The sequence below is a fragment of the Homo sapiens genome, chromosome 4, assembly GCF_000001405.40.
Source record: "Homo sapiens chromosome 4, GRCh38.p14 Primary Assembly".
Lineage (NCBI taxonomy): Eukaryota > Metazoa > Chordata > Mammalia > Primates > Hominidae > Homo > Homo sapiens.
Genome location: NC_000004.12, coordinates 5590208 through 5617112, shown reverse-complemented (window position 1 = coordinate 5617112; position 26905 = coordinate 5590208). Strand labels below are relative to the sequence as shown.

The 26905-nt window shown below is 43.8% G+C and overlaps 1 protein-coding gene across 7 annotated transcripts in view, besides 5 other annotated features; it reads left to right on the top strand.

The window, feature by feature from the left end:
• The window catches only part of EVC2 (EvC ciliary complex subunit 2), a 180538-nt gene that overhangs the window by 92436 nt on the left and 61197 nt on the right, over positions 1 to 26905 (top strand). For all 7 annotated transcript variants that reach the window (XM_047449611.1, NM_001166136.2, XM_017007736.2 and 4 more), the window contains one exon: positions 1569 to 1691. In XM_047449611.1, coding sequence (XP_047305567.1) covers positions 1569 to 1691 — 123 coding nt within the window. The remainder of the gene's footprint in view (positions 1 to 1568; positions 1692 to 26905) is intronic.
• Positions 4960 to 5461: an enhancer, noted in NCBI's record as "NANOG hESC enhancer chr4:5613379-5613880 (GRCh37/hg19 assembly coordinates)". NCBI's record gives its function as "activates a minimal SCP1, AML or CMV promoter by ChIP-STARR-seq in naive H9 embryonic stem cells {active_cell/tissue: H9 hESC(naive)}" and the evidence as "EXISTENCE:reporter gene assay evidence [ECO:0000049][PMID:30033119]".
• Positions 8298 to 8475: a silencer, noted in NCBI's record as "fragment chr4:5610365-5610542 (GRCh37/hg19 assembly coordinates)". NCBI's record gives its function as "represses an EF-1alpha promoter that drives an FKBP-Casp9 reporter gene in an ReSE screen in phorbol 12-myristate 13-acetate-treated (for megakaryocytic differentiation) K562 erythroleukemia cells {active_cell/tissue: K562(+PMA)}" and the evidence as "EXISTENCE:reporter gene assay evidence [ECO:0000049][PMID:32094911]".
• Positions 22522 to 23021: an enhancer, noted in NCBI's record as "H3K4me1 hESC enhancer chr4:5595819-5596318 (GRCh37/hg19 assembly coordinates)". NCBI's record gives its function as "activates a minimal SCP1, AML or CMV promoter by ChIP-STARR-seq in primed H9 embryonic stem cells {active_cell/tissue: H9 hESC(primed)}" and the evidence as "EXISTENCE:reporter gene assay evidence [ECO:0000049][PMID:30033119]".
• Positions 23022 to 23523: an enhancer, noted in NCBI's record as "H3K4me1 hESC enhancer chr4:5595317-5595818 (GRCh37/hg19 assembly coordinates)". NCBI's record gives its function as "activates a minimal SCP1, AML or CMV promoter by ChIP-STARR-seq in primed H9 embryonic stem cells {active_cell/tissue: H9 hESC(primed)}" and the evidence as "EXISTENCE:reporter gene assay evidence [ECO:0000049][PMID:30033119]".
• Positions 24313 to 24845: an enhancer, noted in NCBI's record as "OCT4-NANOG hESC enhancer chr4:5593995-5594527 (GRCh37/hg19 assembly coordinates)". NCBI's record gives its function as "activates a minimal SCP1, AML or CMV promoter by ChIP-STARR-seq in naive and primed H9 embryonic stem cells {active_cell/tissue: H9 hESC(naive and primed)}" and the evidence as "EXISTENCE:reporter gene assay evidence [ECO:0000049][PMID:30033119]".

Below are 26905 nucleotides of genomic sequence, written 5' to 3'. Positions count from 1 at the left end.
ATTTTTTTTTTAAGTACTGTTGTTTTTTTCCCTACTTCTGTTCTTACAAGGATGTGGGAGATACAGAATAAGAGTAAGGAGTAAATTATCAAAAATTTTAAATATTTTTGAACAATGGGGGAAAATAATTTTCACTTCACCGAAGCGAGGGGAGGGAGTCCATAAGCCGCTGGTTCCCCTGCCTTGAAGCTGGTGAGTCCCGGCAGGAGTGAAGTTTCTGCCTTCAGAGTCACCCAAGGTGCTTGGTTTTCAGATGGAAATGGCTGTGGCCACTGCCTCAGAGGAGGCAGATGTCATCTTCCTTTTCGCGAAGGTGCTCGCTCCACATTCTCCAGAGGGAAGGCTGGGCCAGCACGGTCAGGCTTTTGCACGGATGGAGCCGCAGCTCCCTTCGCTTGCTCAGTCCCGAGATAGCGGCAGAGAAGGTGGTGGGAGAGCCTGCTCTCAGTTTCCTAAGCACCAAGGCCTGGGGATAAAATTGTTGTTTTAATCTTCATGTTTTCATCTGTAAAATGGGTGTAATGAGGGTATACGGGGCCAGGTGGAGCAATGTTAGTGGATGCTTAGTGCATTCCCCATCTCTTGGCCGTTCTCACCCACCGTTGTGTCACCACCAGGGAACCCCTGCATTTCTTCACCACATACTTCTCTTTGATCTAGGCCCACAAAACAGGTAGTGTCTACGTTTGACCTCATCTGCTGGTGGCCCCCAGGGCTCCCAGACCATTCACGGACATGAGTTTCAAAGGCACTTGCAAACTCTAAAGAGATGTGCAAGTCAGATTCACCACCCTCTTCCTTCAGCCCTTTCTGTGGCCCTCTGAGCTGGGATCCAAGTTCCAACATGACCTCAAGGCTCCCTGTGGCCTGGGCCCTGACCAGACCTGTGCTGGGAAAGTTCTCAGGGGAGAGGGAAGGTGGGGAGGGGAATCCTGACTTGTAGGATTTGCCCATTTCCATGGTGTAAATCCTCCCAAGGCCAGTTTCAGGCTACCGGCTTGACATCACTGCCTGGGAGTTGGGCAGAGATGTGCCTGATGGGCTCCCTGCCTGGCCCTCTCTAGGGCTATCCCCTCCCAGCCCCAGCCTATACCCCGGGCTTCCAGGTCCTGTCCGCCAACGTGGCTCTGCTCCTAGTGTCCTTATTTAGTTTCCATGTTTTCAGACTGTTTTCTCCGCTGTCATGGAAGCATTGCAAGAACAGAACAGGGACCTCATTCATAGCGTCCCCTTCTCAGAGAGGCTGACAGGTCTGAGGTCCCGTGGCTAGTTAGGAGGTGGACACGCCTTGGGTCTGCTCTCTGACTGCAGAGCTGAGGTTCTGCCCAGCAGGCTCCCTCTGCTCCCTTTGGTGGGAGGAGCCCACCAGATTGTGTGAAGATCAAAGGCTCTGAAACTGAGCTCCTTCCAGAAGAACATACCTCTCTCCTCCCCTCTCTGGCCTAAGGCAGAGTTTTGCAGTTCTGGGAGCTGCAGAAACTTCTCTTGACCTGCAAAGCCCTCGGGGGAGCTGCATGGACTTGCTGGTGATTGCCTTCTTACCCACGTCTTCCCCAACCCCTCTCCAGCAACAGTCCAAGGTGAGAAAGTCACGGTCCAAGAGTAAAAGCAAGGGAGAGCTTCTGAAGAAGTGCATCGAAGACAAAATTCACCTCTGTGAGGAACAGGCCTCTGAAGACCTGGTGGAAAAGGTCAGTACATCTGCTTCACCCAGCTGTTTCTCTCTGCACATGGCGGGGCTGCTCTGATAGCTGACACATTTGCAGGCACACAGAGCCCTTGGGGCTGTGCCATCCATCTCCACCCAACCGCTCACTCACTCAGGTGCTAAGGTAAGAAAGAGTTGGAAGACCCTCCCCCTGGGCCTTTCCCCTGTGCATTCTGTTTGGAACCCTCTCCCTCCACTTCTCAGTCTGGGGATCTCACCGGATCCTTCAGGCTTCACCTCGGGTGCTGCCTCCACTGGCTGAGTCACTTGCTGTATTTGTGCCTGGCTCTATCCTGGGGCGTGTGCACCTGCCATTTCACCTCCATCACATTCTTTTTCTCTCTCACACTCTCCTCCATGTTCCCACAAACTCACCAGGCTCTCCCTTCAGCCCCATTTTTTTTTGTTTGTTTGGTTTTGGTTTTTTTGAAATGGAGTCTTACTCTGTCACCCAGGCTGGAGTGCAGTGGTGTGATCTCGGCTCACTGCAACCTCCGCCTCCTGGGTTCAAGTGATTCTTCTGCCTCACCCTTCCGAGTAGCTGGGATTACAGGCACCCACCATCACACCTGCTAATTTTTGTATTTTTAGTAGACATGTGGTTTCACCATGTTGGCCAGATTGGTCTCAAACTCCTGACTTCAGGTGATCCGCCCACCTCAGCTTCCCAAAGTGCTGGGATTACAGGCGTGAGGCACTGTGCCTGGCCCAGCCCCATTTCATACGTGATGTTCTAGCACACACCACACAGTCTCCTAGGATGCTTTAATCTGTATTCTTCTGTCTTTGTGGAATTACTTTTCCACCTCTATTTACCTGGATAAATAACTTGTGTCCTTGCTGTCCTGAGGTGTTCCCTCAGCTCTTGGATGTCTCCCCTTCCAAGAAGCCTTACCCGAACACCGTAGATTCTCCCACTCATTCCACCCCACTTCCAACTCTTCCTTACCATAGCACCTATCACATGGTTAATTTGTTCCACAAGTATTTTGGGGAGGCAACAGTGTCCCAGGCGCTGTGTCAGTTAACTCTGGGGTTGCAGCAGTGACTGAGGCAGCCCTGGTCCCTGCTCTCCAGTAGAGGCGAGCCCGTTCTAGTTGGGGGAAATGGATCATAAACACTTAAAATGATAGACTGTCATCAGTGCTATTAAGGAAAGAAATTAGATAATGTGACCTTACAGGTGAAGTAGGCTGGCAGCAGGGTGGACTGTAGGTAGGAGAGGAGGCAGGGTCTCCTCTGCAAAGGTGCTGCTTAAGAGTAGACGCTGTGTGACCGCAGCCTGAGTGTCTGTCTGCCTTCCCCAGCACCCTGCAAAGGGTGGATTCCCAACAGGAGTATGTTCAGTGAATGAATGTATGAAGCCATGCTTTAGAGCTGCTGTTTTTGTTCTTACCTTCCACCTGTCTCCTTTTTCTAGCTTTTTTGCTTGTTTTTATTTTAGTGCCGGTGTATTTCTCAGAACACGAATGCACGATCTCGCCAAGAGCCATAGAAACTGCTCTGGGCTCAGTGTCTCCCATCAGGTGTGTCCAGGTTGTTGATGTCTTAAGGGATCCAGGAAGTGGCAACCCTATTCTCACCCAGGTTCTATATGAAATTGAACAGCAAGACAAAGATTAGGCAGATAGAGGCAAAATGTCATCTTACCTATTGTTAAAGGCTAATTCAAGAGATATACATCAATGTGAGAGCCACTGGGCTTCCTAAACTACCTGAGTATTAAACAAACTCCATCAAGCAATCACAGTGTCACTAGGGGGTTCCTTGTGGGGGGCAGCCTACCCCTAGGGAAGCAGAGCAGAAGTTGGGGTCCCAAAGAGAAGCGAGAGAGGTAAGCCAAGCTGTCCCAGTTTATTCCCAGTTTACAGCAAGAAGAGGAGAGAGCTGGAGAGAGGTCGGGTCCTGTGCACATTGAGCTCCTGGCACAGGGAGGAAGTAGCCATACTCGGGGGTAGAGGGAGCATTTCCCTGAGTACCGGCTGCTTTGTGATCCTCTGTAAGAGGTGAAACCCGCCAGAGTGAAGGTGACTGTTGTCGGAGAAGAGCTGCTTGTGAAGGGAAAGCTGGGGTTTGGTTTGGCAGAGGGAATGGGTATCCTGGACTGTGCTGGAGGCCACAGTGCACAGAGGGAACCCAGAGGGTTGAAGCCCTGTGACAAGGCTGCCTTACTGGAGTGCTGGGTCATGGCCAGTGGATGGGGGAGCAGCCCCGTGGAGGAACCTGCTCAAAGGCCAGGCTGAGAAAGCTAAGGGCCATCTCACCAGCACCCTTGGAGCAGAGTCACAGGATGAATGTCTGAGTGAGAAGGTGATGCAGAGATGGTAACCCATGGGGACATCAGGTGCAGACCGCACCGCTCCCACCCAGTGGCTCAAGGCTGGACCTCAACACCCTCCATAACCCCTCCCTGGCCCCTACCTCGTCTCCTCCTGCTCTGTCTCATAATTATTTCTTTTTTTTTTTTTTTTTTTTTTTTTTTGGAGACAGAGTCTCGCTCTGTCACCCAGGCTGGAGTGCAGTGGCACAATCCTGGCTCACTGCAAGCTCTGCCTCCCGGGTTCACGCCATTCTCCTGCCTCAGCCTCCCAAGTAGCTGGGACTACAGGCGCCCGCTACTACTCCCGGCTAATTTTTTGTATTTTTAGTAGAGACAGGGTTTCACCGCATTAGCCAGGATGGTCTGGATCTCCTGACCTCGTGATCCGCCCGCCTCGGCCTCCCAAAGTGCTGGGATTATAGGCGTGAGCCACCATGCCCGGCCTCTCATAATTATTTCTAATCCATCTCCTCTGTTTCCAGCCTTGCCTAGCACCATTTTTGCATAGATACATGCAGCAGGCTCCCTACTCTTTCCTGTTTGTTCCCTCTTCCTTCCAATTAATTCTCCTTGCAGCAGGGAGCAACCTCTTCCTAAAGCCCAGCTCCAATCCCTTACGGATCCTGAACCAGCAGACCCATCTCCTTTTTGGCCAAAACTAGTCATTTTAATAGAAGGAACTAAGCACATTCCTTCCTGTAGTTTTTTCTTTTTCTTTTTTTAAAACCATGTCATCCTGAAATAATTGAAAGAATCAGAACCCAGTTTTCAAGAGTTTATCCAAGAGAAAAACTGGGAATTGCCGTTTGGGAAATACAGACCGCAGAGAAATGGGGTCAGCACGCTAAAGCTAAAAGTTAAGGTCTTGCTTGTATAAGAATAAAATAAAGAGATTTAACAGGATTACAACATTTTCTACACAAGGCTAGTTTATAAGTTACAACAGTTTAATTAGTTACGGTTTGTTTTCTTTTCTGTATGGCTTGTTTTCGTTTCCTTTCCAATTTAAAAGAGTATATTTAACATTCCGTCTTGGCAAATGTGATAGCCATGAAGTCTGTGTGTGAGAGAAGAGGGAAGTTAATCTGTAAGGAAGATCAACAGTGCAGAGGGAAGGGGTCTTTTCTGGCGCCCTCTAGTCATTTACAGCATTTTACAAAATAATGTAGTCTGGGAAGAAGGCTAATCTGTAATCAGAGAAACAAAAGTTCAGCCGCTTAGGTTACAGCTGCCTGTCACATGACTCAGGCCCTATAATCATATTCCTTTAAGGCACCTAATAATTTAAAGTTTCTGTAACTTAAGTTTCAGATTACTTATCTTCACAACCATTTACATTTTCTCTTGGTGGCAAGTACAGAATATTGTTTTCTTTGCCTTTTAGTTTTTTTCTCTTTGTTTTTGCCCTGTTCAGGATTTTTGTTTTATTTAGACATTTTCAGTGCTTTATATCTCACATTACCACTTTTCTTTCTTAGTTTCTTTCAATTATTCTTTAGTTTTTAATTCCAGTACTCAGCATTATTACTGAAAATATCTTAACCTCATTCATTTTCTTTGTCACCCATGGTCCTTTAGAAGTTTATTACTCTCCCAGGCCTCTGCTTTCATCATAGTGTATAAAAGAGGGCTCTTTGTATAATTAAATAGGCTTAGTACACTGTACTAATATGACACAGTGATACTAAAAGAAAAACTGTGTCTAGTCTCTATCAAATTCCTGTCAGATACCAGTCTTACAGCTGATGCTCTTCATGAGCGTGAATCTCCATACTCATCACATTGCTGCAAGAATGGCATCTTGAAGTCCATTCTAAGCTCAAAAAGGTTAGTGCCCAGCCCAGGGTCCACCACCAGGCATGTGATGGGACCTGGTCTGCCTCAGCCCTCTGTGCAGTGTCTCCTAGTTCACACTGGCATCCTGGTCCCATGTAACATACTAGTTATCACTTCTTCCATAACATGAACAAGGGATCCAAGGCAGATGGGGAAGAGACATCTGAGGATCTCCATGATGCAGAGGGCACACACAATGACAGCCTGCCTTGGGAATCCTTGTGTACTGGGCCACCTTATCCAGTTGACACATGAGGGACAGCATCACTGGGGGCTGTGTGACTTGTTCAGGACCATCCAACTAATGGGTTGTGACTCTTGCAACTCAAAGCCACGTCCATTTGGATAGGAAACCTGGGTCTTTCCAGCTTACCCATCCTAGTCTACTTGCCACACATTCATAGATACTTAAGGAAGTTCCACAGGAGGCATTTGGCAAAAAAAAAAAAAAAAAGAAAAGGAAAAAGGAGCAAGACATAAGACACTGACCAAGAAGAACACGCTGCAAGAGTAAAGACCAGCTGAACCAGGCAGGTGAGCCCGGCAGGTGAGCCTGGGAGGTGAGCAGAGGCCTTCAAGGGATGGGGAGGTGAAGGGAGCTGGAGGTCTGCAATGCCCTGAGCCTGTCTTGGCACCCTCCCCTGCCCTGAGCTCATGTCTATGGTTTACATTTGGGGCAGACCTTTGTCCTACCTCCCAGCCCACATGCACAAGCTAGACCCTTCACCTGGTCCTGGGCTGAAGACACAGCCATCTGCTCCAGCACTGGAGGAAGAACTGGCCAGTTGTTGCTCTCCAAGGTGTTTCCAAGGGTGATTTAGATTTCGTTTTTGTCTTATGCACTGATTGAAGAACTTACCTCCCTTCCTAAAATGTGATGGCATTTTAATAAGAATGGTGCCTACTTCCTTTGTTTGCGTTTTAGTGCCAGGCACCTTGGTAGACACTGTATGTATATATATTAATATATGCATACGATAGAGGTATATGTATGTATGTGTGTGTGTACATATGAGCCATCCACATGTGAGTTCTACATATGAGTACCTATATGTATGTCCATAGTCCATATATATGCTAGTGAGGTGTACTGAGAGCTAAGTGCTTTCCATCTATCCACTCTAATCCTCACACAGCCTGTAACAGAAGTGCCACTGTCATTGCTCTATGAGAGATAAGGGCTTTGAGGTACAGGGAGGTGAAGTGACTCCAGGGTCACGACTGGTCTTCAGACTCTGCATTCTTGCTGCTATACTGACCTGTGCCTTGTTCATTACATGCTTTACCCTTCCCAACTTCCACCACAAGTAAGAACCATCAACGTCCCTGTTTTATGGATGTGGAAACTGAGTCTCAGAGATGTTAGTGACTTCGCCCAGGTTCCTTTATGTAGCCAGGCAGTGGCAGACCCAGCACGGGAAGCAGAAGCTCTCTGTTCTGTGTCACTGTCACACCACCTCCTGACCACATGCCCTGATCAGAACTGTCAAAGAATGTTTTCACCAAACAATGGCGGTTATTTCCCATGGTTTCACAATGCAGGGTGAGCGTGCCTTGGCTCCTGCATCTGTGAAATGTGGCTTGTGACAGTGATAGCCCACTAGTTACAGGGCTTTTGTGAGGTGCCTTTTAACTTTGGAGTGGGCTGTAGTGCTCGTCTTCTTTCCCACTAATGGAGCAGCTCCACATGCTACGTGATCCAGGCCTCACAAAGAAAGGCAGACACGAGGCATTTGTCATCTGTGACCTTTTCATGACAGTCCATCTTCACAGTCGGCCATTTCATTGTGGCAGGTGCCAAGAGAATAGACACTCTTGAGTTGACAGCTTTAATGTTCCTCCTGAATTTGATCGATTACATCTCTTAGCACTTGCATGGCGGTTGTTCAGATGTTTTATTTGCAGGATAATTGCAGAGGGAAAAATGACAGCTCTCGTTCTGTGAATGCCCACAACTAAGAGTTGCTTGATCATGATATTAATCATGGTTTTCCAGAGAAACAGAACCCATAGCAGATAGATACATAGATAGGGAGGTAAGAGGGTAGATAGATAGGAGGAGATTTTTTCAGATTTATTCAGGGAATTGGAACATGCAGTTATAGAGGCTGAGAAGGTCCACTGTCTGCCATCTGGAGGCTACAGAACCCGCAAACCTGGTGGTATAATTCAGTCTCAAGGCCTCAGAACTAGGGGAGCTGCTGGTGTAAGTCTGAGAGACCCAAGGCCAGAGAACCAGGAGCACTTTAGATGTCCAAGGGCAAGGAGAAGATGGATATCCCAGCTCCGGAAGAGAAAGAGAATTCACCCTTTTCCCAACTTTCTGTTCTATTCAGGCCCTGGGGATTCGATGACAGCCACCAACATTGGGGAGGGTAATCTCTACTATCTGCTGATTCAGATACTCATCTCTTCCAGGCTGGCACCGTGGCTCATGCCTGTAATCCCAGCACTTTGGGATGCCGAGGCGGGTGAATCACTTGAGGTCAAATTCAAGATCAGCTGGCCAACATGTTAAAACCCAGTCTCTACTAAAAATACAAAAAAATTAGCTGGGTGTGGTGGTGCACACTTGTAATCCCAGCTACTTGGGAGACTGAGGCAGGAGAATTGCTTGAAGCTGGGAGGCAGAGGTTTCAATGAGCCAAAATTGCGCCATTGCACTCCAGCCTGGACGACCGACCGAGACTCTGTCTCATTAAAATAAAATAATAAAATAACAAGATGCTAATCTCTTTCAGAAACATCCACACAGACACACCCCAAAATAATGTTTTACCAGCCACCTGGGCACCTCTTAGCCCAGTTCAGTGACACATAAAATTAACCATCACAATCATGTCTTGAGAGTGGGAGGTCCCTTGGAGTTCATGAAGCTGGAAAGATGGAGCTGCATCTTGCTGACACTGCCCAAGAGGCCCACTGTGGAGCCCAAGTCTGGCAGGCCATGTGGTGTCCCCAGAGGGACTTTGAATTCACCGTTGGGCTGCAGAGTATGCTGGGACTGGGAGTACCTGCTGGGTGACCCCTTCCTTTACTGAAATCTTCTGCAGATATCCATGCCAACCCTCAGTCCCAAATTGATATGGCCCTTGTCTGGACTCTTCCATCCAACAGAAGGGGAAAGAGAGGCCAGGAGGCATTGGGAAAATTGTCCGCAGCCACACCAGCATCGAGTGGTGGAGTTGGTGTGTCTGCCTCCATAGCCCGGGACTGTGGCTGGGACTGCAGGGAGCTGTTAGGATGAGAAGGCCTTCACCTCCCAAGATGACTCTTTGTGTTCTTCCCACTGCCTCCCCTGTCTCCTCCCCTTTCTCTCATTTTCTGTCTTCTCCTTGCCCTTCTCTGTTCTCCCCCATCCCTGTTCCTTCTGCTTCCTTCTTTAGGGAATGTTTTGTGTGGTGATTCCTCTGTGTGACGCAGTTTTAAGTTTCTGCTTTTGAGATGTTCACAGTTTCAGGTAAGCAGCCAGTTCTTCCATCAAGCATTTGGAAGTTTGCATTCTGCTTTCAGATAGAAAATCCACCTGACTACTCTGTAACTCTACCTCGAATGAGTGGCTGTGCAACTAATTCAGAAAGACTTGTATGACTGATTCTTGGAGGAAAGGAGAGACCGACAAATATGAGCCTCTGGCTGCCACTTTTTCTGTACAGCTGGTGGATTAAGGGAGGAAGGTGTCAGCTCTGGTCACAGGTAGCTATCCTGTGGGGCCAAAGTGACCAGATGAGAAATGGGAAAGTCAGCTACAGATGTCTGGTCCTTCTGATGGACTGATTACAAATGCACAGACACAGAATTTGCAGCCTGGAAGACATTGGAGGGCATATATATTTTAGAATAAGTTAATCAAGTTTCTGAATAAATTTCTATTATGATTGCATTAAACTTACAGATTCATTTAGTAGTTGCCTATCCTATCAAAAAATGTAGAATATTTCTTATTTGGAGCTTCTTTTAGGAGCTCTAGTGAAATTTTACAATTGTTTTCATGAGTAGAGAGATCGTACATCTCAATTTGCTTGAGACGGTCCCAGTTTCCTTATCATCCTCATGTCCCTTCCCATGAGCCCTCCCTTTCTCTCTCAGCTTAGGAGAGAAATCATATGGTGACCTTATACATAAGGTCTTGTGTATTCTTTATGGTGATTCCCAGACACAATATAGGTTTGGCTGTAATTGTGAATGATTTGATTATATGTTTTAGATTATTCAATGCTGGCATAAAACATGTAACTAATTTTTATAAGCCTTTCCGGACTTCTGTATGCTATCCTGGGAGCCAGACTGCTGGCTCCAGAGTCTGAGCTCTGCCATGTTCTAGCTGTGTGACCTTGAGCAAGTTATTTAACCTTTCTCCACCTTAACGTACTCATCATTCAAGTGTGGATAATAGAAGCGCCTACCTCCTAGGATTTATCTGTTGATTCCATTAATGTTTTATGCAGTCATAATGTCAACAAATGATTACAACTTTGTAGCCTCCCAATTCTTACACCTCGTTTCTTTTTCTAATTGCTGTTTCAATGTCCTTATCTGCTTGTTCCACCGTCTCTCTCATTTCTATTGATTGGGTTTTCTCTGGTTTATGGATCTTATATTCCTGCTTTTTTGCATGCTTGGTAATTTTAGATTGGATGCTGGGCATTGTAAATTTCATGTGTTGGGTACTGGATTTCATTGTGTTCTCTTTAATAGGGTTAGAGCTCTGACAAGTAGTTGAATTACCTGGAATCAGTTTTATCCTTTGAAGACTTGCTTTTAAGCTCTGTTGGCTTGGGTTAACAGCTGCGTTTAATCAAGACTAATTTACTCCCACTACCAAGGTGATGCCCTTCTGTGGATTCCGCCAAAAGTGTTATTGATTTATTATTGATTTCTAATTTCATTGCATCTTAGAGATCAAAGTATGTATGAAGATTCTTTGGAATGTATTGAGGCTTACCTTGTGGCTTTACAGTAGGTCTGCTTTAAAAGATTTGTTCTCAAAAAGGCTGGGTGTTTTCCGCTGAGTATGGAAAAGGGAGTATTAAGAGGTGGGTGGGAGCCGGGTCATGAGGTCTGCAAGGCTGCACTTAGCAGCTCAGATGTTTTGAAGTAAAATCAACAAGATTTAGGCATTTTGTAGAGAATATTTGGTGGGGAGTACCAGTGAGGAGGTCTCTATTGGTCCGTCCTCCTCTCCTAACCTCTGCTGTGGTTGGCTTAGGGGGTTTGGGCCTCATCTTAGTTTGACCTAGTCCTTTCCTTCTGCATGTCAGCCTGTGCTGAAAGTTACAGCAGTCCCGTCAGGAAGGGGATTGGCTTCTGTGAACCTACAGGTCCCCGTGGCACAGGAAGGTCTCATGCCACAGCAAGGATACGGTTGACCTGAGGGGGAGATGTCAAAGTTGCTGTAAGTGATGCTCAGTTGGGTCAGTCCCGCCACCCTCCCCAGTGCAGTGTCCACTCGGTGCAGGGACATTCTGGCCACCTGCACTGGCCTCAAGCCAGTCTCCTCAGCTTGGGGCAAGTTTGTCAGATCTGTTGGACTGTAAGGCTGTCACTCAAAATGCCTCCTGGCCAAGCCCTTCTTTGCTGAGTTCCTGGGCAGGACAGATAATGTGCCTTCTTTCTCTTGCTTCAACATCTGAGCGATTCCACAAAGTAGATTGGAGACACAGCACAAATTATGTGGTTCATGTTTTACTTACCAATGATTGGAAATAGATCTGTCTGTCCACATCTATCTATCTATCTTATCTATCCATCCATCCATCCATCTATCTATCTGTCATCTGTCTATCTGACCCTTGAACAACATGGGGGTTGGGGTGCTGACCCCTCACACATCACGGGTGGAGCCCAGCAGGCTCACCACATTAAACAAACAAAAATCAAGATTTCAGAGGCTACTGTGTCTATGATTTGTAGAGCAGAGTTCCCAAAGACAAGGTAGCTCCAACAGAAAGAGACAGAGCACACTCCAGAGATCTGCAGGGCATCCTCAAGTCTTCGGCTAAGTCCTGCGCGTGATGTGCATGAGTAGAACTCGTGTGTAACATCTGACTCCCCCCAAATATGCCATTATCCTAATAGCCTACTGTTGACAGAAGCCTTACAAATAACATAAACAGTTGAGTAATATTTTGTATGTTATTAAATATGTGTAAGAAAGTAAGCTAGGGAAAAGAAAATGTTTTTAAGAAAATCATGAGGAAGAGAAAGTATATTTACTGTTCATTAAGTGGAAGTGGATCATCATAAAGGTCTTCATCCTCATCATCTTCACATTGAATAGGCTGAGGAGGAGGAGGAGTAAGAGGAAGGATTGGTCTTGCTGTCTCGGGGGTAGCAGAGGTGGAAGAGTTGAAGGAGGTGGAAGGGGAGGCAGGAAACGCAGGCACCCTCAGTGTAACTTAAAATATTTTAACTGATACAATATTGGTACATATTTATGGGATGCATGGTAATATTTTGTTACATACATAGGATGTATAATGGTCAAGTCAGGGTATTTAGGATATCTATCACTCCATGTATTTATCATTTCTGTGTGTTGGGAACATTTAAGTCCTCCCTTCTTGTTATTTTGAAATAGAAAATACTTTGTTATTAACTATAGTCACCCTAATCTGCTGTTGAACACTATGTCTTATTTCTTCTATCTAACTGTATGTTTGTCCTCATTAACCAGCCTCTTTTGTCTCCCCCACAACCTTCCCCACCTGTGGTAACTATCCTTCCACCCTCTACCTCCATGAGATCCGTTCTTTTTGCTCACGTATATGAGTATGAACATGTGATGTTTGTCTTTCTGTGGCTGCCTTATTTCACTTAACACTGACGTAACTTTAATTGAAAGCAAATCCACGTGTGAGTGGAAACAGGCAATTCAAACCCGTGTTATTCAAGAGTCAACTGCTTATCTACTTATCTATTTCTGCTTTTTGCTTTATCTGAAACTTGAAGATTTTTGATATCAATATATGAGAGTTCCCTTGTTACTTTTCACAGCGGCATAGCATTTCACTGTATATGTGAGCCTTAAGTGATTTCATCCGCCCTCAACTACTGGATATTTAGGTTGTTTTCAACCCCTTGATATTTTAAACAATCCTAGACCCTCTGCATGTATCCTACACCCCTCTGTAGTGAAGCAGGCAGAGCAACTATTACTATCTCCATTTCACAGATGAGAATACTGAGTCTCAGAAAGAGTGAGAGGCTTATCCAAGGTCACAAAGCTGGTACATGGTAGAACAGAGCCTAAAGCACAGGCCTCTCCATGTCCATCCCTGCATTCGGCTAGCAGATCCATTTGATGGATGCAGAAATGAAAGGACATTTCAGTTCCTCTTTGGTGTGATTCTTGTGCTGTTTTTGAACAGCGTATACACAAATTTCTCACAAATAGTCTTTAGGAACACTTAATTATAAATGAAAATGACATAACCATATTTCCTCTTCACCCGTTATTTCTGGTCTTATTATAATGATCTTGCTCTCTGTCTGCATGGCACATCTACCATGTATCTCTTCACCCATCCACTATTCATTCACTGTTTCCAGATTTCATGATGTGTCGTGCATGCACCATTCACTAGAAATGCCTTCATTCAGAAGTGGAACTCCTGATTGCCAGCGACGGTGCATCCTATTCTGTTTCTGCAGCTGCCTTGGCAATTATGCAGGGGTAGTTGGTTCTTGTCAGGAATGGTCCTTCACTCTCTCTGACTTCAGAAGGGACTAGAGTTTAAGCATCAGAATAATGTGCTGCTTTTCAGTGACCTGACAAGAGAGAACCCTGATAGTCCTTAAAGAGCTCAGAAAAGAAGGCATGTTGAAAGGGAATCCATTTAGGAAGGGAAGAGAAAAATCCATCCATCCATAAAGATTGGGAAAGTCTGCAGACAGTTATCCTCACATCTCCCCTTGCCCCGTCTTATCCCTTGAGGCAGCCTCTGTCAAATTCATCTCCCTGAAGCACCATTTTGAGAGACATTCCATAGCTTCCCACTGACCCCAATAAAATTCAGATTCCTGAGCTTGGCATTCAAGGCCTCATGGTCAGACTTCATCTTACCTTTCTAATCTATCCAGTTTGGACCTTTCACATGCCAAAAGGTTACCCTGGCTATCTTTGGATGGTTTTAATTTAGTAACTTTTCTCCCACTTTTCTAGATTGTCTATTTTTAAATTTTACTTTTCATTTTTATCAAACATACGCATGCCTTCTTTTAAACAGTCAAATAATTCTACAAGGCTTCTGCTGAAAGAAGAGCAGCTTCCCCCAGCCATGCACACACACACACATTTTCAGCTCCCCAGAGTTAACAGCTTCTAACTGTTTAGCTTGGTCTTTTGGTGCTTACCTCCATAACTCTAAATAGCATGCTTGCTTTGCTACTTCTTGATTTCTGTAATTTGGGATTATCTATTTCCTTTTCCTATCTATTTCCTTTATAAAAGATGAGGATTTACTCTATTTTACTCTCTTCACTCAACCTGTACCACAAATCAGCCCTTTCATTATCCCCCACCATATTTAGGTCAGTATTTATGGCTTCTATGATTATAAGCATGTAAATGTTACCTACAGTTGAATCTTGTGGGAAACTAGAATCCTTTTTCTTTACTGTATAACTTTTTGTTTTTCCTGGAGTTAATATTGTTCTTTAGTTTCCTTAGGAAACTATTTTACTCTCTTTCTTCTCTAAACCTGGACCACTTATCAGCTCTTTCCTCATCCCCCACCATAGTTAGATCAGTATTTATGGTTTCTATGATTATAAGCACTTAATTATTATTCACAGTTGAATCTTGTAGAAAACTGGAATCCTTTTTCTCTACTTTATAACTTTTTGGTTTTCCTGGAGTTAATATTGTTCTTTAGTTTCCTTTTTAGTTACTTTTCTATGTATTTATCATCAATTTAATCCACTTCTTTTTACTTTTTTTTTTTTTTTTTTTTTTTAAGAGGCAATGTCTTGCTCTGTAGCTCAGGGTTGAGTGCAGTGGCACAGTCATAGCTCACTGTAACCTTGAACTCCAGGGTGGTACAAGTGATTCTTCTGCGTCAGCCTCCAAGGTAGCTGGGATTACAGGCATGCACTACCCTACTAATTTTTAAAATTTTTTATTTTAAAATTTTTTATAGGGACAGGTTTCTCACTACATTGCCCAGGCTGGTCTTGAACTCTTGGCCTCAAGCATTTCTTCTGCCTTGCCCTCCCAAAGTGCAGGGATTATAGGCATGAGCCACCATGCCCAGCTTTATTAATCCTCTTCTTGATGGTAGACCAAATACACTATCAGGACCATCACACATGTCACATCTTCTGTTAATCCCATCTTTCAGGGTACATCTCACTCTCTGCCTCTGATGTGCTCCAGTTGGAAACTGACCTCTGTGCCTCATGCACAGCTGCCATCTTGGGGTCACACTGTGAATTCCCTTCACTCCTCTCTTTCCTGGTTTTATCGTTGTTGTTAGTGAAACACATCTTTTATTAGTTTCCTGGGAAAGGGCACATAGGAAACTGAATATTTTGGAATTTTTCAGATTTTTCTAAGACTGAAAATGTTTCTATTCTGCCCTCATACTCAACTGATAGTTTGACCAATCTAGAAGTCTGGGAAATTTTCCTGAATTTTATTAATGATTACATCTCCTATTCTCTAATTTGTCTTTCTAGAACTCTCGGGATTCCAGTGTTGACCTCTCGTCCATTGTTTTTTTTTTTTTCCTTTTTTTTACTATTTGTCTTTTTGCTTCACTTGCTGGGAGATAGCCTAAGTTTTATCTTATAAGCCTTTAATTGAGTTTTTCATTTATGTTTTCAATCAATTTCTAATTCTTCAAGAGCATCTTCCTCCACCATCCCAATGCTGTCTTCCTAAAGAAAAAACATTCTCTTATTGTTTTGAGGCTGCTATAACTTGTTATATCTTTCTAAGAATATTAAAGATTTTTTTTTTAAATTCCTGCATGTTCACTCTTACCTCCATGTTCATTACAGGCTTTCCCAGGTATGTGGTCATCTTTGGTGGTCTGATGATATTTAAGAGTGGGATAATAAGGCTCTGAGCCTATAGCCAGGGCCCGTAGACTGTGGCCTTCAGTCTGGTGGCTGGGCTGCGCACTCTGTAGGGGAATCCCCAGTGTGAGTATCTTTAGATCTTTCATCAAGGCTAGTTGAATCCCCCAAAAAAGACCGCTCCAAGTCTTTTGTCTAGATGGTAAAGGCATGGCTGCCCAACATTTGGGAAGCCAAATGCAGGAAGAGAGCTGGGGTTTTAGTAGTCAGTATGTAAACTTTCACTAGGACCCTGTGTTTTCAGATGTGCCTGAGTTTCCTTCCCTAAATTCAGAGACTTTTCCTGAGACTAAATCTCCAGTCATCTGCTGGTTGTAGGGAAGAGAGTGGCCTGCTGAGCAAAGGATGGGTGGGGGGAATTCTGGGAGCCTGTTTCCTAATGAGATGTTTATCCTTTTCTTCTGTTTTAGCTCCATCTTTTACCTCCCACTTCTAGATGTGTCTGATGACTACATTTTCTGTGACTTGGGAAGGTAGATCTGCAGTTTAAATTATGTTGCTTCTTGCTTACTCCATGGCTTACTTAGGATTCAGTTTTTTGGGATCTATATAGTTCTTTCCCAATCAGTCATCCAGTTTCTAACTTTCAAAATTGTATCACTGTTGTTTCCTCTCTCATTTCCCCCATATTTACCCACTGCCTTAAAGAAAGCACTGGCTGCATCTTAAAAATTCACTATTCTTCACTAGGCATCTCCACTGTAAAGATTTTTTTTATATTGTGCATGTACTTTATCATTAGAAATGAAGAAACCTCTTTAAAATAGGGGGAAACGCTCAATATGGCAAACCATTATTTTTATCTGTTTTGTGCAACTTGAAAGAAATCCTATGTAATAATGATGTGAAATAGGATTTAATCCTATTTAATAATGATGTGAAATAGTGAAAATAATAAAGTGGTAATGATGATGACAGCTACTGTTCAGTAGGTACTCCGTAGGCACCAGGTACTATTTCCTTTTCACTGGAAAAACTGAGACTCAGACAGGTTAAGCAACTTGCCTTGGTCACACAGCTAGTTAAGTGGTAAGTTTGTATGTAAGAGATAATAGATCAACCTTAAAATACAACAAAGCAAAACTATGCCAAGTGATGTGAAGGGATGCCCCTCATTTCTTTGGGGAATTTGCACTTTGATAATGTAGATGATAGGGGTGGTAGAAGTATCTTTCTAGGCATATAAATTAATTTGTCTGTGTCTAAAATTTAAGCACTAATGAAGCTTATTTAGCAAAATAGTATTTCATTTGACAAATATTAACCCAATGGACCATCAGTGAATCTACTTTCCTCCTGATACAATATGCCACAGGGAGTTTTAAACATTTCCCATCTTTTTACCTGCTCTGGGTATCTTGAACCCATTCAGCAGAACATGGATTAGACTAACCTGATTTTTAACAGGACCAGCCGCTAGAATGGGAATCTTCTTTTATTTTATTTTATTATGCTTTAAGTTTTAGGGTACATGTGCACAATGTGCAGGTTAGTTACATATGTATACATGTGCCATGCTGGTGTGCTGCACCCATTAACTCGTCATTTCGCATTAGGTATATCTCCTAAAGCTATCCCTCCCCCCTCTGCCCACCCCACATCAGTCCCCAGAGTGTGATGTTCCCCTTCCTGTGTCCATGTGTTCTCATTGTTCAATTCCCACCTGTGAGTGAGAATATACGGTGTTTGGTTTTTTGTTCTTGCGATAGTTTACTGAGAATGATGATTTCCAATTTCATCCATGTCCCTACAAATGACATGAACTCATCATTTTTTATGGCTGCATAGTATTCCATGGTGTATATGTGCCACATTTTCTTAATCCAGTCTATCATTGTTGGCCATTTGGGTTGGTTCCAAGTCTTTGCTATTGTGAATAGTGCCACAATCAACATACGTGTGCATGTGTCTTTATAGCAGCATGATTTATAGACCTTTGGGTATATACCCAGTAATGGGATGGCCTGGTCAAATGGTATTTCTAGTTCTAGATCCCTGAGGAATCGCCACACTGACTTGCACAATGGTTGAACTAGTTTACAGTCCCACCAACAGTGTAAAAGTGTTCCTATTTCTCCACATCCTCTCCAGCACCTATTGTTTCCTGACTTTTTAATGATTGCCATTCTAACTGGTGTGAGATGGTATCTCATTTTGGTTTTGATTTGCATTTCTCTGATGGCCAGTGATGGTGAGCATTTTTTCATGTGTCTTTTGGCTGCATAAATGTCTTCTTTTGAGAAATGTCTGTTCATGTCCTTCGCCCACTTTTTGATGGGGTTGTTTGTTTTTTTTCTTGTAAATTTGTTTGAGTTCATTGTAGATTCTGGATATTAGCCTTTTGTCTGATGAGTAGGTTGCAAAAATTTTCTCCCATTTTGTAGGTTGCCTGTTCACTCTGGTGGTAGTTTCTTTTGTTGTGCAGAAGCTCTTTAGTTTAATGAGATCCCATTTGTCAATTTTGGCTTTTGTTGCCATTGCTTTTGGTGTTTTAGACATGAAGTCCTTGCCCATGCCTATGTCCTGAATGGTAATGCCTAGGTTTTCTTCTAGGGTTTTTATGATTTTAGGTCTAACGTTTAAGTCTTTAATCCATCTTGAATTGATTTTTGTATAAGGTGTAAGAAAGGGATCCAGTTTCAGCTTTTTCCATATGACTAGCCAGTTTTCCCAGCACCATTTATTAAATAGGGAATCCTTTCCCCATTGCTTGTTTTTCTCAGGTTTGTCAAAGATCAGATAGTTGTAGATATGCGGCATTATTTCTGAGGGCTCTGTTCTGTTCCATTGATCTATATCTCTGTTTTGGTACCAGTACCATGCTGTTTTGGTTACTGTAGCCTTGTAGTATAGTTTGAAGTCAGGTAGCATGATGCCTCCAGCTTTGTTCTTTTGGCTTAGGATTGACTTGGCGATGCGGGCTCTTTTTTGGTTCCATATGAACTTTAAATTAGTTTTTTCCAATTCTGTGAAGAAAGTCATTGGTAGCTGGATGGGGATGGCATTGAATCTATAAATTACCTTGGGCAGTATGGCCATTTTCATGATATTGATTCTTCCTACCCATGAGCATGGAATGTTCTTCCATTTCTTTGTATCCTCTTTTATTTCCTTGAGCAGTGGTTTGTAGTTCTCCTTGAAGAGGTCCTTCACATCCCTTGTAAGTTGGATTCCTAGGTATTTTATTCTCTTTGAAGCAATAGTGAATGGGAGTTCACTCATGATTTGGCTCTCTGTTTGTCTGTTGTTGGTGTATAAGAATGCTTGTGATTTTTGTACATTGATTTTGTATCCTGAGACTTTGCTGAAGTTGCTTATCAGCTTAAGGAGATTTTGGGCTGAGACAGTGGGGTTTTCTAGATATACAATCATGTCGTCTGCAAACAGGGACAATTTGACTTCCTCTTTTCCTAATTGAATACCCTTTATTTCCTTCTCCTGCCTAATTGCCCTGGCCAGAACTTCCAACAGTATGTTGAATAGGAGTGGTGAGAGAGGGCATCCCTGTCTTGTGCCAGTTTTCAAAGGGAATGTTTCCAGTTTTTGCCCATTCAGTGTGATATTGGCTGTGGGTTTGTCATAGATAGCTCTTATTATTTTGAGATATGTCCCATCAATACCTAATTTATTGAGAGTTTTTAGCATGAAGGGTTGTTGAATTTTGTCAAAGGCCTTTTCTGCATCTATTGAGATAATCATGTGGTTTTTGTCTTTGGTTCTGTTTATATGCTGGATTACATTTATTGATTTGCATATATTGAACCAGCCTTCCATCCCAGGGATGAAGCCCACTTGATCATGGTGGATAAGCTTTTTGATGTGCTGCTGGCTTTGGTTTGCCTGTATTTTACTGAGGATTTTTGCATCAATGTTCATCAAGGATATTGGTCTAAAATTCTCTTTTTTGGTTGTGTCTCTGCCCGGCTTTGGTATCAGGATGATGCTGGCCTCATAAAATGAGTTAGGGAGGATTCCCTCTTTTTCTATTGATTGGAATAGTTTCAGAAAGGAATGGTACCAGTTCCTCCTTCTACCTCTGGTAGAATTCGGCTGTGAATCCGTCTGGTCCTGGACTCTTTTTGGTTGGTAAGCTATTGATTATTGCCACAGTTTCAGAGCCTGTTATTAGTCTATTCCGAGATTTCAGCTTCTTCCTGGTTTAGTCTTGGGAGGGTGAATGTGTTGAGGAATTTATCCATTTCTTCTAGATTTTCTAGTTTATTTGCGTAGAGGTGTTTGTAGTATTCTCTGATGGTAGTTTGTATTTCTATGGGATCGGTGGTGATATCCCCTTTATCATTTTTTATTGCGTGTATTTGATTCTTCTCTCTTTTCTTCTTTATTAGTCTTGCTAGCGGTCTATCAGTTTTGTTGATCCTTTCAGAAAACCTTGGATTCATTGATTTTTTGAAGGGTTTTTTGTGTCTCTATTTCCTTCAGTTCTGCTCTGATTTTAGTTACTTCTTGCCTTCTGCTAGCTTTTGAATGTGTTTGCTCTTACTTCTGTAGTTCTTTTAATTGTGATGTTAGGGTGTCAATTTTGGATCTTTCCTGCTTTCTCTTGTGGGCGTTTAGTGCTATAAGTTTCCCTCTACACACTGCTTTGAATGCATCCCAGAGATTCTGGTATGTTGTGTCTTTGTTCTCGTTGGTTTCAAAGAACATCTTTATTTCTGCCTTCATTTTGTTATGTACCCAGTAGTCATTCAGGAGCAGGTTGTTCAGTTTCCCTGTAGTTGAGCGGTTTTGAGTGAATTTCTTAATCCTGAGTTCTAGTTTGATTGCACCGTGGTCTCAGAGACAGTTTGTTATAATGTCTGATCTTTTATATTTGCTGAGGAGAGCTTTACTTCCAACTATGTGGTCAATTTTGGAACAGGTGTGGTGTGGTGCTGAGAAAAATGTATATTCTGTTGATTTGGGGTGGAGAGTTCTGTAGATGTCTGTTAGGTCCGCTTGGTGCAGAGCTGAGTTCAGTTCCTGGGTATCCTTGTTAACTTTCTGTCTTGTTGATATGTCTAATGTTGACAGTGGGGTGTTAAAGTCTCCCATTGTTATTGTGTGGGAGTCTAAGTCTCTTTGTAGGTCACTGAGGACTTGCTTTATGAATCTGGGTGCTCCAGTATTGGGTGCATATATATTTAGGATAGTTAGCTCTTCTTGTCGAGTTGATCCCTTTACCATTATGTGATGGCCTTCTTTGTCTCTTTTGATCTTTGTTGGTTTAAATTCTGTTTTATCAGAGACTAGGATTGCAACCCCTGCCTTTTTTTGTTTTCCATTTGCTTGGTAGCTCTTTCTCCATCCTTTTATTTTGAGCCTATGTGTGTCTCTGCATGTGAGATGGGTTTCCTGAATACAGCACACAGATGGGTCTTGACTCTTTATCCAATTTGCCAGTCTGTGTCTTTTAATTGGAGTATTTAGTCCATTTACATTTAAAGTTAATATTGTTATGTGTGAATTTGATCCTGTCATGATGATGTTAGCTGGTTATTTTGCTCGTTAGTTGATGCAGTTTCTTCCTAGCCTCAATGGTCTTTACAATTTGGCTTGATTTTGCAGTGGCTGGTACCAGTTGTTCCTTTCCATGTTTAGCGCTTCCTTCAGGAGCTCTTTTAGGGCAGGCCTGGTGGTGACAAAATCTCTCAGCATTTGCTTGTCTGTAAAGTATTTTATTTGTCCTTCACTTATGAAGCTTAGTTTGGCGGGATATGAAATTCTGGGTTGAAAATTCTTTTCTTTAAGAATGTTGAATATTGGCCCCCACTCTCTTCTGGCTTGTAGAGTTTCTGCCTAGCGATCAGCTGTTAGTCTGATGGGCTTCCCTTTGAGGGTAACCCGACCTTTCTCTCTGGCTGCCCTTAACATTTTTTCCTTCATTTCAACTTTGGTGAATCTGACAATTATGTGTCTTGGAGTTGCTCTTCTCGAGGAGTATCTTTGTGGCATTCTCTGTATTTCCTGAATCTGAATGTTGGCCTGCCTTGCTAGATTGGGGAAGTTCTCCTGGATAATATCCTTCAGAGTGTTTTCCAACTTGTTTCCATTCTCCCCGTCATGTTCACGTACACCAATCAGACGTACATTTGGTCTTTTCACATAGTCCCATATTTCTTGGAGGCTTTGTTCGTTTCTTTTTATTCTTTTTTCTCTAAACTTCCCTTCTTGCTTTATTTCATTCATTTCATCTTCCGTCACTGATAGCCTTTCTTCCAGTTGATCGCATCGGCTCCGGAGGCTTCTGCATTCTTCTCGTAGTTCTCTAGCCTTGGTTTTCAGCTCCATCAGCTCCTTTGAGCACTTCTCTATTGGTTATTCTAGTTATACATTCGCCTAAATTTTTTTCAAAGTTTTCAACTTCTTTGCCTTCAGTTTGAATTTCCTCCCGTAGCTTGGAGTAGTTTGATCGTCTGAAGCCTTCTTCTCTCAACTCGTCCAAGTCATTCTCCCTCCAGCTTTGTTCCGTTGCTGGTGAGGAGCTGCGTTCCTTTGGAGGAGGAGAGGCGCTCTGCTTTTAGAGTTTCGTTTTTCTGCTCTGTTTTTTCCCCATCTTTGTGGTTTTATTTACTTTTGGTCTTTGATGATGGTGATGTACAGATGGGTTTTTGGTGTGGGTGTCCTTTCTGTTTGTTAGTTTTCCTTCTAACAGACAAGACCCTCAGCTGCAGGTCTGTTGGAGTTTGCTAGAGGTCCACTCCAGACGCTGTTTACCTGGGTACCAGCAGCGGTGGCTGCAGAACAGCGGATTTTCATGAACCGCGAATGCTGCTGTCTGATCGTTCCTCTGGAAGTTTTGTCTCAGAGGAGTACCCGGCCGTGTGAGGTGTCAGTCTGCCCCTACTGGGAGGTGCCTCCCAGTTAGGCTGCTCGGGGGTCAGGGGTCAGGCACCCACTTGAGGAAGCAGTCTGCCCGTTCTCAGATCTCCAGCTGCGTGCTGGGAGAACCACTGGTCTCTTCAAAGCTGTCAGACAGGGACATTTAAGTCTGCAGAGGTTACTGCTGTCTTTTTGTTTGTCTGTGCCCTGCCCCCAGAGGTGGAGCCTACAGAGGCAGGCAGGCCTGCTTGAGCTGTGGTGGGCTCCACCCAGTTTGAGCTTCCGGGCTGCTTTGTTTACCTAAGCAAGCCTGGGCAATGGCGGGCACCCCTCCCCCAGCCTCGCTGCCGCCTTGCAGTTCAATGTCAGACTGCCGTGCTAGCAATCAGCGAGACTCCATGGGTGTAGGACCCTCCAAGCCAGGTGGGGGATATAATCTCCTGGTGCGTCGTTTTTTAAGCCCTTCGGAAAAGCGCAGTGTTAGGGTGGGAGTGACCCAATTTTCCAGGTGCCATCTGTCACCCCTTTCTTTGACTAGGAAAGGGAACTCCCTGACCCCTTGTGCTTCCCGAGTGAGGCAATGCCTCTCCCTGCTTTGGCTCACGCACGGTGCACTGTACCCACTGTCCTGCGCCCAGTGTCTGGCACTCCCTAGTGAGATGATCCCGGTACCTCAGATGGAAATGCAGAAATCACCCATCTTGTGCGTCGCTCACGCTGGGAGCTGTAGACCGGAGCTGTTCCTATTCGGCCATCTTTGCTCCACCCCCTAGAATGGGAATCTTCAAATGCACATTTATATTTCAGCAGCGTTTCTTTAGCCTTATTCTCCCAATGTTTGGGTGCAAGTTTCTTGATAATGTTACCAGCAGCAAATCTGTACGAATCTGTGGCACCTTTAATTCTCACCTCCTAAGAAGAAAGAATTTAACCAAGGAGCATAAGACAAAGAAACTGAGGCAAGTTTTCAAACAGGAGTAAATGTTTATTGAAAAGCTTTAGAGCAGGAAGAAAAGGAAGTAACGCACACTTGAAAGAAGGGCAGGCAGGTGACTGGAGAGACCAACTGCACAGCTTAACTTTTGACTTGAGCTTTTATACAGTGGCGTACTTCTGGAAGGTTGCATCCTGTATTAGTCCATTCTCACACTACTATAAGGACATACCCGAGACTGGGTGATTTATAATGGAAAGAGGTTTAATTGATTCACGGTTCTGCAGGGCTGGGGAGACCTCAAGAAACTTACAATCATGGCAGAAGTGGGAAGCAAACATATACTTCTTCACATGGCAGCAGCAAGGAGAATTGCAGAGCAAAGAGGGAGAAAAATCCCTTAAAAAACCATCAGATCTCATGAGAACTCACTCTCAGGAGAACAGCATGGAGGTAATCACCCCCATGATTCAGTTACCTCCTATGACAGGTGGGGATTATGAGAACTACAATTCAAGATGTGATTTGGGTGGGGACACAGCCAAACCATATCACATCCCTTCTCCCGTGTTTCTTCCCTTGGGGCGGGCTGTTCACATGCACAGTGACCTGCCAGCACTTGGGAGGAGCCACATATGCAGTGTTTTTACAGAAGTTGTGCACATGCTCACTTGAGGCTTTCTTCCTTACCAGTAGAATGTTCCTAGAAGATGATATACTAGTTATACTCTGCCATTTTGCCTCTTAATGCACATGTGCGAGCCCACTTGCCCAACTCCTGAGTTCTTATCGGGAAGCTGCTGATCACCAATTTCAAGTCTTTACTATCTGTTGGGAGACTGCTGTTCCCTGGCACCAGCTGCAACCAATTATTATTTTAAAGAGGCAGTTAACAACCACTTGACCATCACCTGATGGCCACCTGACATTCCTGGTATTTGGCGGGGCTCTCTCCTGCCCTGCTCACATCTGACTAGTTACCTACTGTAACAATAAGACCTCTCTCAATGCCTCTTTTGCCACTGGAGGTTGTTGCTAGTGGCACCGCTAGATTCTCCATCCCTTGGCCCACTTTTCTCCAAGGAGGGCATTTGTGATTAAAGAAGGAATGGGACAGGTTCAGCTCAGCCCCCTTCTCTCTGGGAGCCAGCATTCCTGTAGGAAGCCCCTCTTATCTGTTTTTTAAGTGATGAATTTGGTAAGGAGGCCTGCTCTTGGGGGATTGTGAATTTGTTTGGATACAGATGTGAGCCACATTCTCCAGTCTAGTTTTCATCAATATGAAAGCTGACATTAGGCACCTAGCTAGCTCACCCTTGCATCTAGTTGTATTTGTTTCCAAACTTGGGCAAGGAGAGGTGTGATTTATTAAACCCTTTAGAATCCCAATAACTCTCTGCTGGTTGACACAGGTAGACTTTATTATATGTTTAAAGGACATTATAATGCATAGAAAAAACTTTTTGTTTGAAATCCACATGTTGTCAGGGAAAAGTAGTAAGAAGTTGTTTGAACTTCTCGTTTAAAGAGTATTTAGCAGCATATCATTTTGCAAATGAATTTGTATTATTCTCAGTGGCTTGAATATTTAATGAAGCCTGTCATTAATACCTCATAGAAATGCAAATCTGTGTTGTTTCCCAGGATTTCTTCTAGACAAAGGATTAAAACCCTCTCTAGAGACACATTCTCATGGTGCTGGAACTAACAAACTAAGCTTTCCAAAGAAGAAAAAAGAATTTTGGAGAAGGTTTTTTTTTCTTTTTAATTTCACTGTCCATGTTGTTCATACAGTATATACAAAAGGCTTTACACTTCACCCACATTTATTCATGCATTTACATAAATAAATCTTTAGCTTTTCCTTACGGCCTTCTCATTCTGCCCTCTGCTCTGCACCTCTGCAGGGGTCTGGGTCTTATGGGACACTTGGACCACCACCCACCCACCCAAGAGGGGAAGATGGAGACCACACAAGGATAACGTGAAAACCCTAGCGCATGGCAGGCATGTAATAAGGAAGACTTCTGTCAGCTGAAGCATGATGATGTTCATAAATTTGGGAAGGAGACCTTTATTTCTCATAATGGGTTGTAGCCTGCAGGGTGGCCCTTCTGACGGGCTAGGAAGCATAGCCTCTGGTTAGAAGCTGAAAACAGGCACTTAGAGAAAGGGGCAAAGGAAACAGGAATTTATGCTAAATAGGGTGGCTTAATATATATATTTAATAAGCTATAGGAGGAGTCATGAATATTTATGAAACGAGAAACATGCACAAGTGTCATTGAGCTTCATGCCCCTTCATGGGTCCTGTGTCTCCACCCAATCTCATCTTGAATTGTAGTTTACATAATCCCCATGTGTGTCATTGGAAGGACCTAGTGAGAGGTAACTTAATCATGGGGGCAGTTACCCTCATGCTGTTCTCGTGATAGTGAGTGAGTTCTCATGAGATCTGATGGTTTTGTAAGGGGCTTTTCCCCCTTTTGCTTGGCACTTCTTGCTGCTGCCATGTGAAGAAGGATGTGTTTGCTTCCCCTTCTGCCATGACTATAAGTTTCCTGAGGGCTGGGGAGGCAATTAAATTTCTTTTCTTTATAAATTACTCACTCTTAGGCAGTTCTTTATAGCAGCATAAATATGGACTAATACAGGTCTCATGTACAAAAAAATGGTGGTGCTAGCATGATCTAAGGGTGGTGTTTTCTACCTTCTGACATCAGAATGTGAAGAAGAGGACACTAAAACCCTCACTGAGCATCCTCCATAGACTGTCCTGAACCACTCTGTGGTCAGTGTGTATTATCCGGAAGGAATGCTGGTTGGTTGCTTTGTCAAAACAGCAAAAAGGAGGGGCAGTGTCAGGCAGTTGGTTGATATTGGGGTGGAGTCTTTTGGAAGAGCTGGTTTCTGTTTAGCGCTCAGGGAAGAAAACCTAATGATGGTTAGTGAGGGAGGGAGTGTAGCAAGGTGTGTCTAACCTCCCATCCCATTATGGCTGGGAACTCAACTTCCAAGGTTTTTCTGGGGTCTCCTTGGCCAACAGGAGGCCCATTCAGTCAGTTAGGGGCTTAGAATTTTATTTTTATTGATCACCTCTTACCAATTCTTGCCATGCCTTGCCCATCACTCAACTTTTTCCTGTTCAGGGACATCCAGCTCTCTTGCCCTTCTCATTGTCTGAGGGGAAGCTCTGCCTTCTTGTCCC